The sequence below is a fragment of the Homo sapiens genome, chromosome 8 (genome assembly GCF_000001405.40).
Source record: "Homo sapiens chromosome 8, GRCh38.p14 Primary Assembly".
Classification (NCBI taxonomy): domain Eukaryota; kingdom Metazoa; phylum Chordata; class Mammalia; order Primates; family Hominidae; genus Homo; species Homo sapiens.
In genome coordinates this window covers 69,820,185-69,833,762 of record NC_000008.11, presented here as the reverse complement: position 1 = coordinate 69,833,762, position 13,578 = coordinate 69,820,185, and the positions used below count along the sequence as shown (strand labels likewise).

The 13,578-nt window shown below is 43.0% G+C and overlaps 1 protein-coding gene across 3 annotated transcripts in view, besides 2 other annotated features; it reads left to right on the top strand.

The window, feature by feature from the left end:
* SLCO5A1 (solute carrier organic anion transporter family member 5A1) overlaps positions 1–13,578 on the top strand; it is a 167,933-nt gene that overhangs the window by 1,216 nt on the left and 153,139 nt on the right. For 2 of the 3 annotated variants that reach the window (NM_030958.3, NM_001146009.1), the window contains one exon: positions 594–1,996. In NM_030958.3, the coding sequence (NP_112220.2) occupies positions 1,090–1,996 (907 nt within the window). In that variant the 5' untranslated portion in view covers positions 594–1,089. Of the gene's footprint in view, positions 1–407; positions 1,997–13,578 lie in introns of those variants that run through there. The other variant, NM_001146008.2, reaches the window with a different exon arrangement.
* Positions 460–529: an enhancer, noted in NCBI's record as "active region_27500". NCBI's record gives its function as "activates an Ori minimal core promoter by ATAC-STARR-seq in GM12878 lymphoblastoid cells {active_cell/tissue: GM12878}" and the evidence as "EXISTENCE:reporter gene assay evidence [ECO:0000049][PMID:35858748]".
* Positions 720–809: a silencer, noted in NCBI's record as "silent region_19264". NCBI's record gives its function as "represses an Ori minimal core promoter by ATAC-STARR-seq in GM12878 lymphoblastoid cells {active_cell/tissue: GM12878}" and the evidence as "EXISTENCE:reporter gene assay evidence [ECO:0000049][PMID:35858748]".

Sequence of the window (13,578 nt, the reverse complement as noted above, 5' to 3'; positions counted from 1 at the left end):
TTTGCTGCTGCCTTCGGCTTTGAATGTGTGTCTCTGGTGGAGCAGACAGATTCAAATCTAGTCGCGCACACGTGCCAACGCACACCAGTGTGCACACACATTTCTACACACGTAGTTTACCCCCACCTTCTTTTTTCCTTTTAGAAAAATTGGGACAGGGAATACATTGTGTGTCTGTGAAAAAGTTTCCTTTGTTCTTTTGGGCATTTTCTATTTTGAGTAATGGAGTAGGAGTACGGAAAGGCTGCAGTTAGTTCACTCGATTAAAAGACACTGCCTCTGAGTCAGAGCTGCCAGGTTGATAATTATTAACATATAAAAGCAAACGCAATGTTTAAGGCAGAAGGGGCGGGACGGGGGCAGGTCCGCGGCAGACAATGAGGGAGAGTCTCCGCCGACCGCCTGCTGCTTATTGTTCCGGGACTGGAGACTGCAGCCGGCTGCTGCCTAGTCCTCCGGGGCTCCGCTCCTGACTAGCTCCTCCGTCCCTCTAGGGACGGTTCGGGGTCACCTAACCCTGGTCCCCGGGGCGCTGGGACGCTAGCCCCAAGCCGCAGCCGCTCTTCGCTGACCGCCCTCTTTCTGCTTTGCAGGTCGGCAGCTTCACTCCCGAGGGTGCCGCGAGCCCAGGCGGCGAACACCCGGTACCCCTGGCGCAGCGAGGTGGGATGCTGTACGGACAGCAGCGCTAAGTGCCCCCCCACCCCCGGCGCAGGGTGCACTCGCTCCTGGCCGCGGGCCCAGCGGCGGCGGCGGCGGCGGCGGCGGAGGGGATGAGCCCGGGACGCGCGAGGCGCCTGCCTCAAGCTACCGCCCGGAGAGGGACGCCGAGTAGGGCTCATCGCAGTACCGCGCGGACCCCTGCCCCCTGTGGCACGCGGCTGCGGAGCCTTGAAGCCGTGTCTGTGATCAGGATGCACTGGGCGCCTCGCAGCTGGTGAGGATGCCCTGCTGCGCGGCCCTGCGCCCCCAGCCCCAGTCCCAGGTGGGCAAGACTGACTGGGCCCGGCTTCGGCCCCTCGTGCCGGTGGATGAAACGTGCCGGAGTGCTTGGGTGCCATCAGCTATCAAATCTGAATTCTAAGCGCCATGGACGAAGGCACTGGACTGCAGCCCGGGGCGGGAGAGCAGCTGGAGGCGCCGGCCACTGCAGAAGCTGTCCAAGAGAGGTGCGAGCCGGAGACCCTCAGGTCTAAGAGTTTACCGGTCCTCAGCAGCGCCTCCTGCCGGCCAAGCCTCAGTCCCACTAGTGGAGACGCCAACCCGGCCTTTGGCTGTGTGGATTCTTCGGGCCACCAGGAGTTGAAGCAAGGCCCGAACCCGTTGGCCCCCAGTCCCTCTGCCCCGTCCACTTCGGCGGGGCTCGGGGACTGTAACCACAGGGTGGACCTCAGCAAAACCTTCTCGGTGTCCTCCGCCTTGGCCATGCTCCAGGAGAGAAGGTGCCTCTACGTGGTCCTCACGGATTCCCGTTGCTTCCTGGTGTGCATGTGCTTTCTGACCTTCATCCAGGCGTTAATGGTCTCTGGGTACCTGAGCAGCGTAATTACCACCATTGAAAGGCGCTACAGTCTGAAGAGTTCCGAGTCGGGGCTGCTGGTCAGCTGCTTTGACATCGGGAACCTGGTGGTGGTGGTGTTCGTCAGCTACTTCGGCGGCCGGGGTCGGCGGCCCCTGTGGCTGGCCGTGGGTGGACTCCTCATCGCCTTCGGGGCAGCCCTCTTCGCCTTACCTCACTTCATCTCGCCCCCCTACCAGATCCAAGAGTTGAACGCCTCGGCCCCCAACGACGGCCTGTGTCAGGGTGGCAACTCCACCGCCACTTTGGAGCCTCCGGCCTGTCCGAAGGACTCGGGAGGAAATAATCACTGGGTCTACGTGGCTTTATTCATTTGCGCGCAGATTCTCATTGGAATGGGCTCCACACCTATTTATACCCTGGGACCAACCTACTTAGATGACAATGTCAAGAAAGAAAACTCCTCCTTGTACCTAGGTAAGACTTTCCTGTTCTCTCAGATATGTTTCACTCACACTGAAACTTACTTTCCTTACAAAAATCAAAAGGAAACATGTTCTTTCACATTTTCATGTATATTATAGATTAAAGTTCACTTTATTTTACGTTTTAGCCTTGCTGTAGTGTGTTTTCAGTTTGGGAGAGAATCAATTAGTTGAGAGTTCTTGAAACTAATTTTCAGACTCATACTTCATGTTTGTCTTTTCCCAAGTAACATAAACTTTAAACTGTGGGGTGATGCTTCTCTCTGTTGCTACCTACCTATGGAAAAGCTCCAATTTGTCAAGTTTATATTCTAATACACTTGTTGAGGAAGGAATAGCAGTACCTCATGTGTAAAGTTTTGATGATTTTCTGCTTCTATCTGCTGCTGCTTCTGATTTCTGTCCAGAGCAGCAGGGATGGTGGCGTGGCCAGACTACATACATCATGCTTTATTGCCTTCATACCTGTGTTTCTTTTCTTTTTTTTTTTTTTCTTTTTAAGATGGAGTCTTGCTCTGTCACCCAGGCTGGAGTGCAATGGCATGATCTCAGCTCACTGCAACCTCCGCCTCCTGGGTTCAAGTGATTCTTCTGCCTCAGCCCCCGAGTAGCTGGGATCACAGGTACCCATCATGCCTGGCTAATTTTTGTAGAGATGGGGTTTCACCATGTTTGTCAGGCTGGTCTTGAACTCTTGACCTCAGGTGATCCACCCTCCTTGGTCTCCCAAAGTGCTGGGATTCATACCTGTTTTTCTTATACGTCACCTGCACCACTATCTAAAAACAACAACAAAAATTTGAATAATGTCAAATGACTGGCTTACCTTTATGAAGAAGCAACACCACAGGTTATAAGGTTTATCCAAAGCTATTTTTATTGCTGTCAAAAACCCTCAATTGTATGAACTTGGGAGAAGAATCCATTCCTATTTTTCTGAAAAGCCGTGGCTGTGGGATTTGGTGTGTTGACTTGCATAAGTCAGCATCAGTGGACAGGGGTGCTTGAGTTAAGTACAGGGGGCTCATCTGAGGCCAGGCAGCAGTTGCAGAGGGTATGAAAATTTACATCCTAGAAATTTGAGGTTGTTAGCACCTCCCTGTAGTAGCTGGTTCTTAAAAACTGAACTTCTAAGGGATGGATTTGAACCCATAAGAAGGATCAATGGCTGTCATACCAGATGAGATTTTTGTTTTTCTATTTCTGTACTGGAGTGCAACCTAAACAAGCTAAAGGATTTTACTTTACTGAAAAAACTGAAATGGAAGCTGGGTGTGGTGGTGTGTGCCTGTAGTCCCAGCTACTCGGGAGGCTGAGGCAGGAGGATTGCTTGAACCCAGGGACTTGAGACCAGCCTGGGAAACATAGTGAGACCCCATCTCTTAAAAAAATTAAAATGATAAATAAGCAAATACTAGCTATATTTAGCAATTTATTAGCAATGTGCTGATAGGATTCTTGATTTGGGAATAGTAAGATTTTCAAAGGACGGTGTAAATGATATCCAATATAAGAGGGCTATGCTTTGTCCTCAGTATGTTTACTGTCCCCAAAAGCTGTTATAGAGGGGTGTTTGAGTCCTCAGTAATCCCCACTAACTGGTTCAATGGGTCAGAAAAAGAGTTTTATAACTTATTTTTATCACTACATGCAAGAGAAAGAAATTTCCTTTCTGGGTAGAGAAGAATAGCTTGCTTACCATCTTGCCTCTCTGTTTTCTAACATTTATTAAGACAAAATTTTAAACATACAGAAAAGTTGAAACAATAGTATAATAAGCACCAGTATACCCACGACACAGACCCAATGATTGTTTATTTTGTCATGCTTGCTTTATCAACCTGTGTGTGAGTGTATATATGTATAGAAATATATTTTGGGAGATGGGAGGCTAAGCCTTCTAAAAGTAATTGCAGACACTGCCAGAGCATCTTCTAAAAATGAGGGTATTCTTTTACATAACTGAAGGAACATCAACATCCTAAGGAAGTTCATAATCATTCCCTAATATCATTAAATATTCAGGCCATATTCAAATTTCCTCAATTGTCCTCTGAAAGTCTTTTATACTGATTGATTGATTGAGACAGGGTCTTTCTTTCACCCAGGCTGGAGTGCAGTGGCACAATCTCAGCTCACTGCAACTTCTGCCTCCCAGATTCAAGCAATCCTCCCACCTCAGCCTCTCAAGTAGCTGGGACTAGAGACCTGTGCCACCGTGCCCAGCTAATTTTTTGTGGAGATAGAGTTTCATCATGTTTCCCAGGCTAATAATAATTTTTTAAATGAGGAACTAATCAAGATTCATTCATGCATTGCATTTGGCTGTTAGCCACTTTAGCCTTCTATAATCCAGAACTGTGCCTCAACTTTTTTCTTTTTCCATGGCATAGACTTTTTGAAGGGGCAAGGCTAATGTTCCACATTCTAGATGTATCTGATCATTTCCTCATGGTGTGACTTACCTTGTTCCTCCATTCCCTATATTTCTTGTATACTAGAAGATCAGTCTAGAGGCTTGATCAAATTCAGACAAAACATTTTTGGTCTGACTATGTCAGAGGTAATGCTGGGTGTTTTATATTACATGCACCTTGCTGTTCATTAGTGACGTTAAGTTTAATCATTTGGTTGGGTGAGTGATTGGTGGGTCTTTCCATTGTAAAGATACATTTCTCATTTTGAAAATAATGATCAATCTGTACAGTGATACCTGGGCTCTGTGTAAATATCCCAGTTGTTTTTCATATTCTTGCTGATCTTTGCCTCTATTTACTTTGAAAACTTGGATCTCTCTTTCATCCCACTTTTGGTAGCATCAATACAGACTTGCTTTGTCAAAATTACAGGCAGAACCCTATCGAAAGGGAGAACATCCACTAACAACAGCCCTGAGATTTAACTTTTCTGGTAGTGGTTGCCCATCCAGAAGAAAAATAGCAAGTGCATATGAAATGCATATTCTGTGCTAGGTACTCTGCTAGTTTTGGGAAGACCAAAAGTGAGACACAGTCCCAGCATTTGAGGTGTTTTTAGTGTAAAGCAATACCGCCAGTGCAAGGTAGGGGTGGAAAGTGACATGTGCAAGGGAAGGAAAAGAATAGAAATGGTATTCATTTTCTTTCCTCCTTCTTTTCTTTTCTTTTCTTTTTTTTTTTGAGACGAGTCTCGCTCTGTCGCCCAGGCTGGAGTGCAGTGGAGCGGTCTCGGCTCACTGGAAGCTCCGCCTTCCAGGTTGACGCCATTCTCCTGCCTCAGCCTCCCGAGTAGCTGGGACTACAGGCGCCCACCACCACGCCCAGCTAATTTTTTGTATTTTTAGTAGAGACAGGGTTTCACCATGTTAGCCAGGATGGTCTCAATCTCCTGACCTCGTGATCCACCCGCCTTGGCCTCCCAAAGTTTTGGGATTACAGGCGTGAGCCACTGCACCCGGCCCTTCTTTTCTTTTTTAAAGATACTGATTAAATTGCTTTTTTTTTAAAAAAAAAAAAAATGATGAATGCGTTAGAACACATTCTTTAAGAAACCTGGGAGAATTCTGCTTTCTATTAAATGGATCTCAGTAGGAGCTACAGTAGTTTGAGTATCAGAAATCTTAGATATATTATTTCACTTAATGTTCTCAATGACCTTATAAGATGGAGATTATTTTCCCTATGTTACAGATGAGGAAACAGTCTCAGAGAGTTTAAGTGACTTACTAAGGGCCTCAACCCCATGACTTTCTGACCCCAGGGCCCTCGAGCTTCCTTCTACAGTGCATGGCTCTTTGGCAAGAAGCCCTGAGAACCAACTGTAACCGCAGGATGTGCCACGTTCAACAGAGTTTTCCAACAGCGCAGAAGAATGCAGAATGTAGAATTGCCTTAAAGTCATCAAAACATGATCAAAATAAGATTATTCTCTAAACCGTTTAAAGTAGGTTTGATAGACTACCTCTGTACAAATTAGAGACTATTATATCCTTAGAACATGAGCAGTATTGACCAATTATGATGTGAGACCTTTCCCAATAAATAACGAATTAAAATGTCTTTCTTATTTTTCATAAAGCTGTTCTATTGCATTACATTTTTTGCCACCCACCCCTTCCTTAATCTTCCTGTCCGTTTTTCTAACTTCTCATTATAACCTCAGAGGAAAGAAAAAAATCAGGTAGTAGGTTAGTAATTACGAGCAGAAACAAATATCTGCAGCAACGTAAAAACCATTGAAATGGAATGTAATTGTATATCTTAATCTTTTGAAAGTTCTATGTTAACATTCTGGCAGCTTTAACTGTAGAAGAGATGTGGTCGTAGATGAGATACGGCAGCATTTATAGCCACTAAATGCCTTAACTTCTGCAAGGAGAGAGGCTTAGAATTGACTAGGAGCATAGAGAAAGCTTTGTAGGTATTAATAAGAAGCAAGGTTAGCAACTAGACTATAATTTTTTTTTCTCTTTTTTTAAATATTATTATACTTTAAGTTTTAGGGTACATGTGCACAATGTGCAGGTTAGTTACATATGTATACATGTGCCATGCTGGTGTGCTGCACCCATTAACTCGTCATTTAGCATTAGGTATATCTCCTAAAGCTATCCCTCCCCCCTCCCCCCACCCCACAACAGTCCCCAGAGTGTGATGTTCCCCTTTCTGTGTCCATGTGTTCTCATTGTTCAATTTCCACCTATGGGTGAGAATATGCGGTGTTTGGTTTCTTGTTCTTGCGATAGTTTACTGAGAATGATGATTTCCAGCTTCATCCATGTCCCTACAAAGGACATGAACTCATCATTTTATATGGCTGCATAGTATTCCATGGTGTATATGTGCCACGTTTTCTTAATCCAGTCTATCATTGTTGGACATTTGGGTTGGTTCCAAGTCTTTGCTATTGTGAATAGTGCCACAATAAACATACATGTGCATGTGTCTTTATAGCAGCATGATTTACAGTCCTTTGGGTATATACCCAGTAATGGGATGGCTGGGTCAAATGGTATTTCTAGTTCTAGATCCCTGAGGAATCGCCACACTGACTTCCACAATGGTTGAACTAGTTTACATTGGTTGGTTGAACTAGTCCCACCAACAGTGTAAAAGTGTTCCTATTTCTCCACATCCTCTCCAGCACCTGTTGTTTCCTGACTTTTTAATGATCGCCATTCTAACTGGTGTGAGATGGTATCTCATTGTGGTTTTGATTTGCATTTCTCTGATGGCCAGTGATGGTGAGCATTTTTTCGTGTGTTTTTTGGCTGCATAAATGTCTTCTTTTGAGAAGTGTCTGTTCATATCCTTTGCCCACTTTTTGATGGGGTTGTTTGTTTTTTTCTTGTAAATTTGTTTGAGTTCATTGTAGATTCTGGATATTAGCCCTTTGTCAGATGAGTAGGTTGCGAAAATTTTCTCCCATTTTGTAGGTTACCTGTTCACTCTGATGGTAGTTTCTTTTGCTGTGCAGAAGCTCTTTAGTTTAATTAGATCCCATTTGTCAATTTTGTCTTTTGTTGCCATTGCTTTTGGTGTTTTAGACATGAAGTCCTTGCCCATGCCTATGTCCTGAATGGTAATGCCTAGGTTTTCTTCTAGGGTTTTTATGGTTTTAGGTCTAACATATAAGTCTTTAATCCATCTTGAATTAACTTTTGTATAAGGTGTAAGGAAGGGATCCAGTTTCAGCTTTCTGCATATGGCTAGCCAGTTTTCCCAGCACCATTTATTAAATAGGGAATCCTTTCCCCATTGCTTGTTTTTGTCCAGTTTGTCAAAGATCAGATAGTTGTAGATATGCAGCGTTATTTCTGAGGGCTCTGTTCTGTTCCATTGATCTATATCTCTGTTTTGGTACCAGTACCATGCTGTTTTGGTTACTGTAGGCTTGTAGTATAGTTTGAAGTCAGGTAGTGTGATGCCTCCAGCTTTGTTCTTTTGGCTTAGGATTGACTTGGCAATGTGGGCTCTTTTTTGGTTCCATATGAACTTTAAAGTAGTTTTTTCCAATTCTGTGAAGAAAGTCATTGGTAGCTTGATGGGGATGGCATTGAATCTATAAATTACCTTGGGCAGTATGGCCATTTTCACGATATTGATTCTTCCTACCCATGAGCATGGAACGTTCTTCCATTTGTTTGTGTCCTCTTTTATTTCATTGAGCAGTGGTTTGTAGTTCTCCTTGAAGAGGTCCTTTATGTCCCTTGTAAGTTGGATTCCTAGGTATTTTATTCTCTTTGAAGCAATTGTGTATGGGAGTTCACTCATGATTTGGCTCTCTGTTTGTCTGTTATTGGTGTATAAGAATGCTTGTGATTTTTGTACATTGATTTTGTATCCTGAGACTTTGCTGAAGTTACTTATCAGCTTAAGGAGATTTTGGGCTGAGATGATGGGGTTTTCTAAATATACAATCATGTCATCTGCAAACAGGGACAATTTGACTTCCTCTTTTCCTAATTGAATACCCTTTATTTCCTTCTCCTGCCTGATTGCCCTGGCCAGAACTTCCCAACACTATGTTGAATAGGAGTGGTGAGAGAGGGCATCCCTGTCTTGTGCCAGTTTTCAAAGGGAATGCTTCCAGTTTTTGCCCATTCAGTATGATATTGGCTGTGGGTTTGTCAGAGATAGCTCTTATTATTTTGAGATACATCCCATCAATACCTAATTTTTTGAGAGTTTTTACCATGAAGCATTGTTGAATTTTGTCAAAGGCCTTTTCTGCATCTATTGAGATAATCATGTGGTTTTTGTCTTTGGTTCTGTTTATATGCTGGATTACATTTATTGATTTGCGTATATTGAACCAGCCTTGCATCCCAGGGATGAAGCCCACTTGATCACGGTGGATAAGCTTTTTGATGTGCTGCTGGATTCAGTTTGCCAGTATTTTATTGAGGATTTTTGCATCAATGTTCATCAAGGATATTGGTGTAAAATTCTCTTTTTTGGTTGTGTCTCTGCCAGGCTTTGGTATCAGGATGATGCTGGTCTCATAAAATGAGTTAGGGAGGATTCCCTCTTTTTCTATTGATTGGAAGAGTTTCAGAAGGAATGGTACCAGTTCCTCCTTGTACCTCTGGTAGAATTTGGCTGTGAATCCATCTGGTCCTGGACTCTTTTTGGTTGGTAGGCTATTGATTATTGCCACAATTTCAGCTCCTGTTATTGGTCTATTCAGAGATTCAACTTCTTCCTGGTTTAGTCTTGGGAGGGTGTATGTGTCCAGGAATTTATCCATTTCTTCTAGATTTTCTAGTTTATTTGCGGAGAGGTGTTTGTAGTATTCTCTGATGGTAGTTTGTATTTCTGTGGGATCGGTGGTGATATCCCCTTTATCATTTTTTATTGCATCTATTTGATTCTTCTCTCTTTTCTTCTTTATTAGTCTTGCTAGCGGTCTATCAATATTGTTGATCTGTTCAAAAAACCAGCTCCTGGATTCATTAATTTTTTGAAGGGTTTTTTGTGTCTCTATTTCCTTCAGTTCTGCTCTGATTTTAGTTATTTCTTGCCTTCTGCTAGCTTTTGAATGTGTTTGCTCTTGCTTCTCTAGTTCTTTTAATTGTGATGTTAGGGTGTCAATTTTGGATCTTTCCTGCTTTCTCTTGTGGGCATTTAGTGCTATAAATTTCCCTCTACACACTGCTTTAAATGTGTCCCAGAGATTCTGGTATGTTGTGTCTTTGTTCTCGTTGGTTTCAAAGAACATCTTTATTTCTGCCTTCATTTAGTTATGTACCCAGTAGTCATTCAGGAGCAGGTTGTTTTGTTTCCATGTAGTGGAGCAGTTTTGAGTGAGTTTCTTAATCCTGAGTTCTAGTTTGATTGCACTGTGGTCTGAGAGACAGTTTGTTATAATTTCTGATCTTTTACATTTGCTGAGGAGTGCTTTACTTCCAACTATGTGGTTAATTTTGGAATAGGTGTGGTGTGGTGCTGAAAAAAATGTATATTCTGTTGATTTGGGGTGGAGAGTTCTGCAGATGTCTATTCGGTCTGCTTGGTGCAGAGCTGAGTTCAATTCCTGGGTATCCTTATTAACTTTCTGTCTCGTTGATCTGTCTAATGTTGACAGTGGGGTGTTAAAGTCTCCCATTATTATTGTGTGGGAGTCTAAGTCTCTTTGTAGGTCACTCAGGACTTCCTTTATGAATCTGGGTGCTCCTGTATTGGGTGCATATATATTTAGGATAGTGAGCTCTTCTTGTTGAATTGATCCCTTTACCATTATGTAATGGCCTTCTTTGTCTCTTTTGATCTTTGCTGGTTTAAAGTCTGTTTTATCAGAGACTAGGATTGCAACCCCTGCCTTTTTTTGTTTTCCATTTGCTTGGTAGATCTTCCTCCATCCTTTTATTTTGAGCCTATGTGTGTCTGTCTCTGCACGTGAGATGGGTCTCCTGAATACAGCACACTGATGGGTCTTGACTCTTTATCCAATTTGCCAGTCTGTGTCTTTTAATTGGAGCATTTAGTCCATTTACATTTAAAGTTAATATTGTTATGTGTGACTTTGATCCTGTCTTTATGATGTTAGCTGATTATTTTGCTTGTTAGTTGATGCAGTTTTTTCCTAGCCTCAATGTAGACCATAATTTGTAATTATATCTTACATATAAGGAGAGAGAGAAAATGTGATCCTTTGGAGGCAAGACATTTGTAATTCAACAGGGAAAAGAGTAAGAATGCCGAACTAGGTAGGAAAAGGAAGAGAAGGATGCATATCTAGAATACAAAGCCACAACTCTGATTGGGTGATATTCAGGATCAATAATGATTGGCATGGTTCAGCCATCAGTTAAGCAGGGTGGGTGCTGGCTCTTCCACCTCCCTAGTGTGTCCCACTAATTGCCAGCCCTGACTTCACATGACAGAGAAGGGCTAGAATTGGCCCCATGCCTTAGAAAGAGCACCGGAAAAGAGGCAGAAAAATTGTATTTTAGTTTCACTCTACCAACAACTGGTCATGGGACTTCAGACAAACCCCTTGGCTTCTCCCAGCCTGTTTCCACCTGGGGATTACTACATTTGTTTCTCTTGCTGTAACATTTTGAAGACCAGGTGGGATTCCATGTGTGCGAGTGTTCTGCAAGCTGTAAGGGACAGTGCTCTGTTCTGTCAAAGTAGAATTCAAACTTATCCTAGGGTGTGGGCAGAGAGGGGAGTGAGAGATAGTTTGCTCTTTCCAAGTATGAAAACCCTTAAATGTATCTATTCTAAAATTGGAAAAAAGAAAAGAAACATTGCATGGGAAATTAAAACATTGTATAGGAGAGCACTCCTGGGAAACATTGAACAGGAACATTTTGATCAGTGTTTTCGTAATGTTATAACCGGTTTAATTAAATTTTCTCAGGACTCAAGGTTTTATCATGAGAACTTTCTCCATGCCAACATTTGATGATCATCTTTCTTTAATGTATGAACATTTAAGTAATGCATATTTGCACCTAGTATAAGACAGTAAAAGCTCCTTTGAAGTTTGAGGGGCTTGTGGTGTGCCATTTCACCACTGTGGGTCTACATTTGTCCTCATGGACTGTGGCGGAATGTATGGTGAACAAGGACAGGCCTCAGGACATACTTGGAAGTAATTATTATTGCTTTTATTTTTATTTTTTATTTTCTATTTTATTTTATTTTGAGACAGAGTCTTGCTCTGTTTCCCCAGGCTGGAGCGCAATGGCACTGTCTTGCCTCACTGCAACCTCTGCTTCCCTGGTTCAAGTGATTCTCCTGCCTCAGCCTCCCAAGTAGCTGGGATTACAGGCACCTGCCACCACGCCTGGCTAAGTTTTGTATTTGTAGTAGAGATGGGGTTTGCCATGTTGATCAGGCTGGTCTCTAGCTCCTGTCCACAGTTGACCCACCCACCTTGGCCTCCCAAAATGATGGGATTATAGGCATGAGATACTGTGCCTGGCCATATTGTTTTTCTTTTCTTTTCTTTTTTTTTTTTTTTTTGAGACAAAGTCTCACTCTGTTGCCCAGGCTGGAGTGCAGTGGTGTAATTATGGCTCACTACAGCCTCAAGTTCCCTGGGCTCAGGTGTTTCTCCCACCTTAGCCTCCCTGAGTAGGTGGGACTACAAGTGTGCACATGTGTGGCTAATTTTTGTATTTTTGTAAATATAGGGTTTTGCTATGTTGCCCAGGCTGTTCTTGAACTCCTAGCCTCAAGTGATCTGCCCTCCTCAGCCTCCCAAAGTGCTGGGATTACAGATGTGAGCCACTGCGCCTGGTCTATTCTGGCCTATTTTCTTCTTCTTCTTCTTTTCTTCTTCTTCTCCTTGTCCTTCTTCTCCTGCTCCCTCTCCTTCTCCTCCTCCTCCTCCTCCTTCTTCCTCTTCTTCTTCCTCTTCTTTATCCTCTTCCTGTTCTTCTTCATTTTGCAAATTTTATTTTATTTTTTGAGACGGAGTCTCACTCTTTCACCCAGGCTGGAGTACAGTGGGCTGATCTGAGCTCACTGCAACCTCCACCTCCCAGGTTCAAGCGATTCTCCTGCCTCAGCTTCCCGAGTAGCTGGGATTACAGGGGTGCGCCACCATGCCCAGCTAATTTTTTTTTTTTAACATTTCTTCAGTCTTCTAAAAGTAGAGTGAGCTTCAAATCAGTTGAGTTGTATTTCTTCAAGATTTTATAGTAATATAAACATTATATATGTGTATATATGTCTATTATATGTCTATTAACTGCCAGCCCTGGCTTCACATGACAGAGAAGGGCTAGAATTGGCCCCATGCCTTAGAAAGAGCACCAGAAAAGGGCAGAAAAATTGTATTTTAGTTTCACTCTACCAACAACTGGTCATGGGACTTCAGACAAACCCCTTGGCTTCTCCCAGCCTGTTTCTGCCTGGGGATTACTACATTTGTTTCTCTTGCTATAACATTTTGAAGACCAGGTGGGATTCCATGTGTGCATACATACACATGCATATATACACATATATGTGTGTATATGTCTATGTACACATATATGATTTTAATATATGCATAGATATATTTTGCTCTTTTTGATTTTTTTCTCTGAATATGAGAAATATTGTACGGAAAAATATTTTTTTAAACTTTATTAATTTTTTTAAATATATTTTTTTGTAGAGACATGGTCTCATTATGTTGCCCAGGCTGGTCTAGAACTCCTGACCACAGCAATCCTCTTCCCTGAGCCTCCTAAAGTGATGGGATTACAAGTGTGAGCCACTGTGACTAGCCTATGGAACAATCTTGATCAGTATTTCTGCAATGTTGTATAGAGCAATCTACAGATCAATATCTATACAATTTTATTTATAGTGATATATACAATGAAAGATACATATATGTATCTTTCAGTTCAGTGTTCTCTGGAACCATATAACCATGTGTACCAGTGGTTTGACAAGTTAGGGGTTTCTTTGTCTTGAGTTATAAGCCAGCTGGGGTGGGCAGTCAGGGGCTGGTACAGCCTTGAGTGCTGCCAGGTCCCTGGGCTCTTCCTCCTGGGCTGTTCTTAGTGACAACTGCTGTGTCTCAGTTATCACTCACCTGTTCCCACAGAAGAAGGGAAAAGTGGAGGAGGCAGTACCTGTTTCCTCTAGA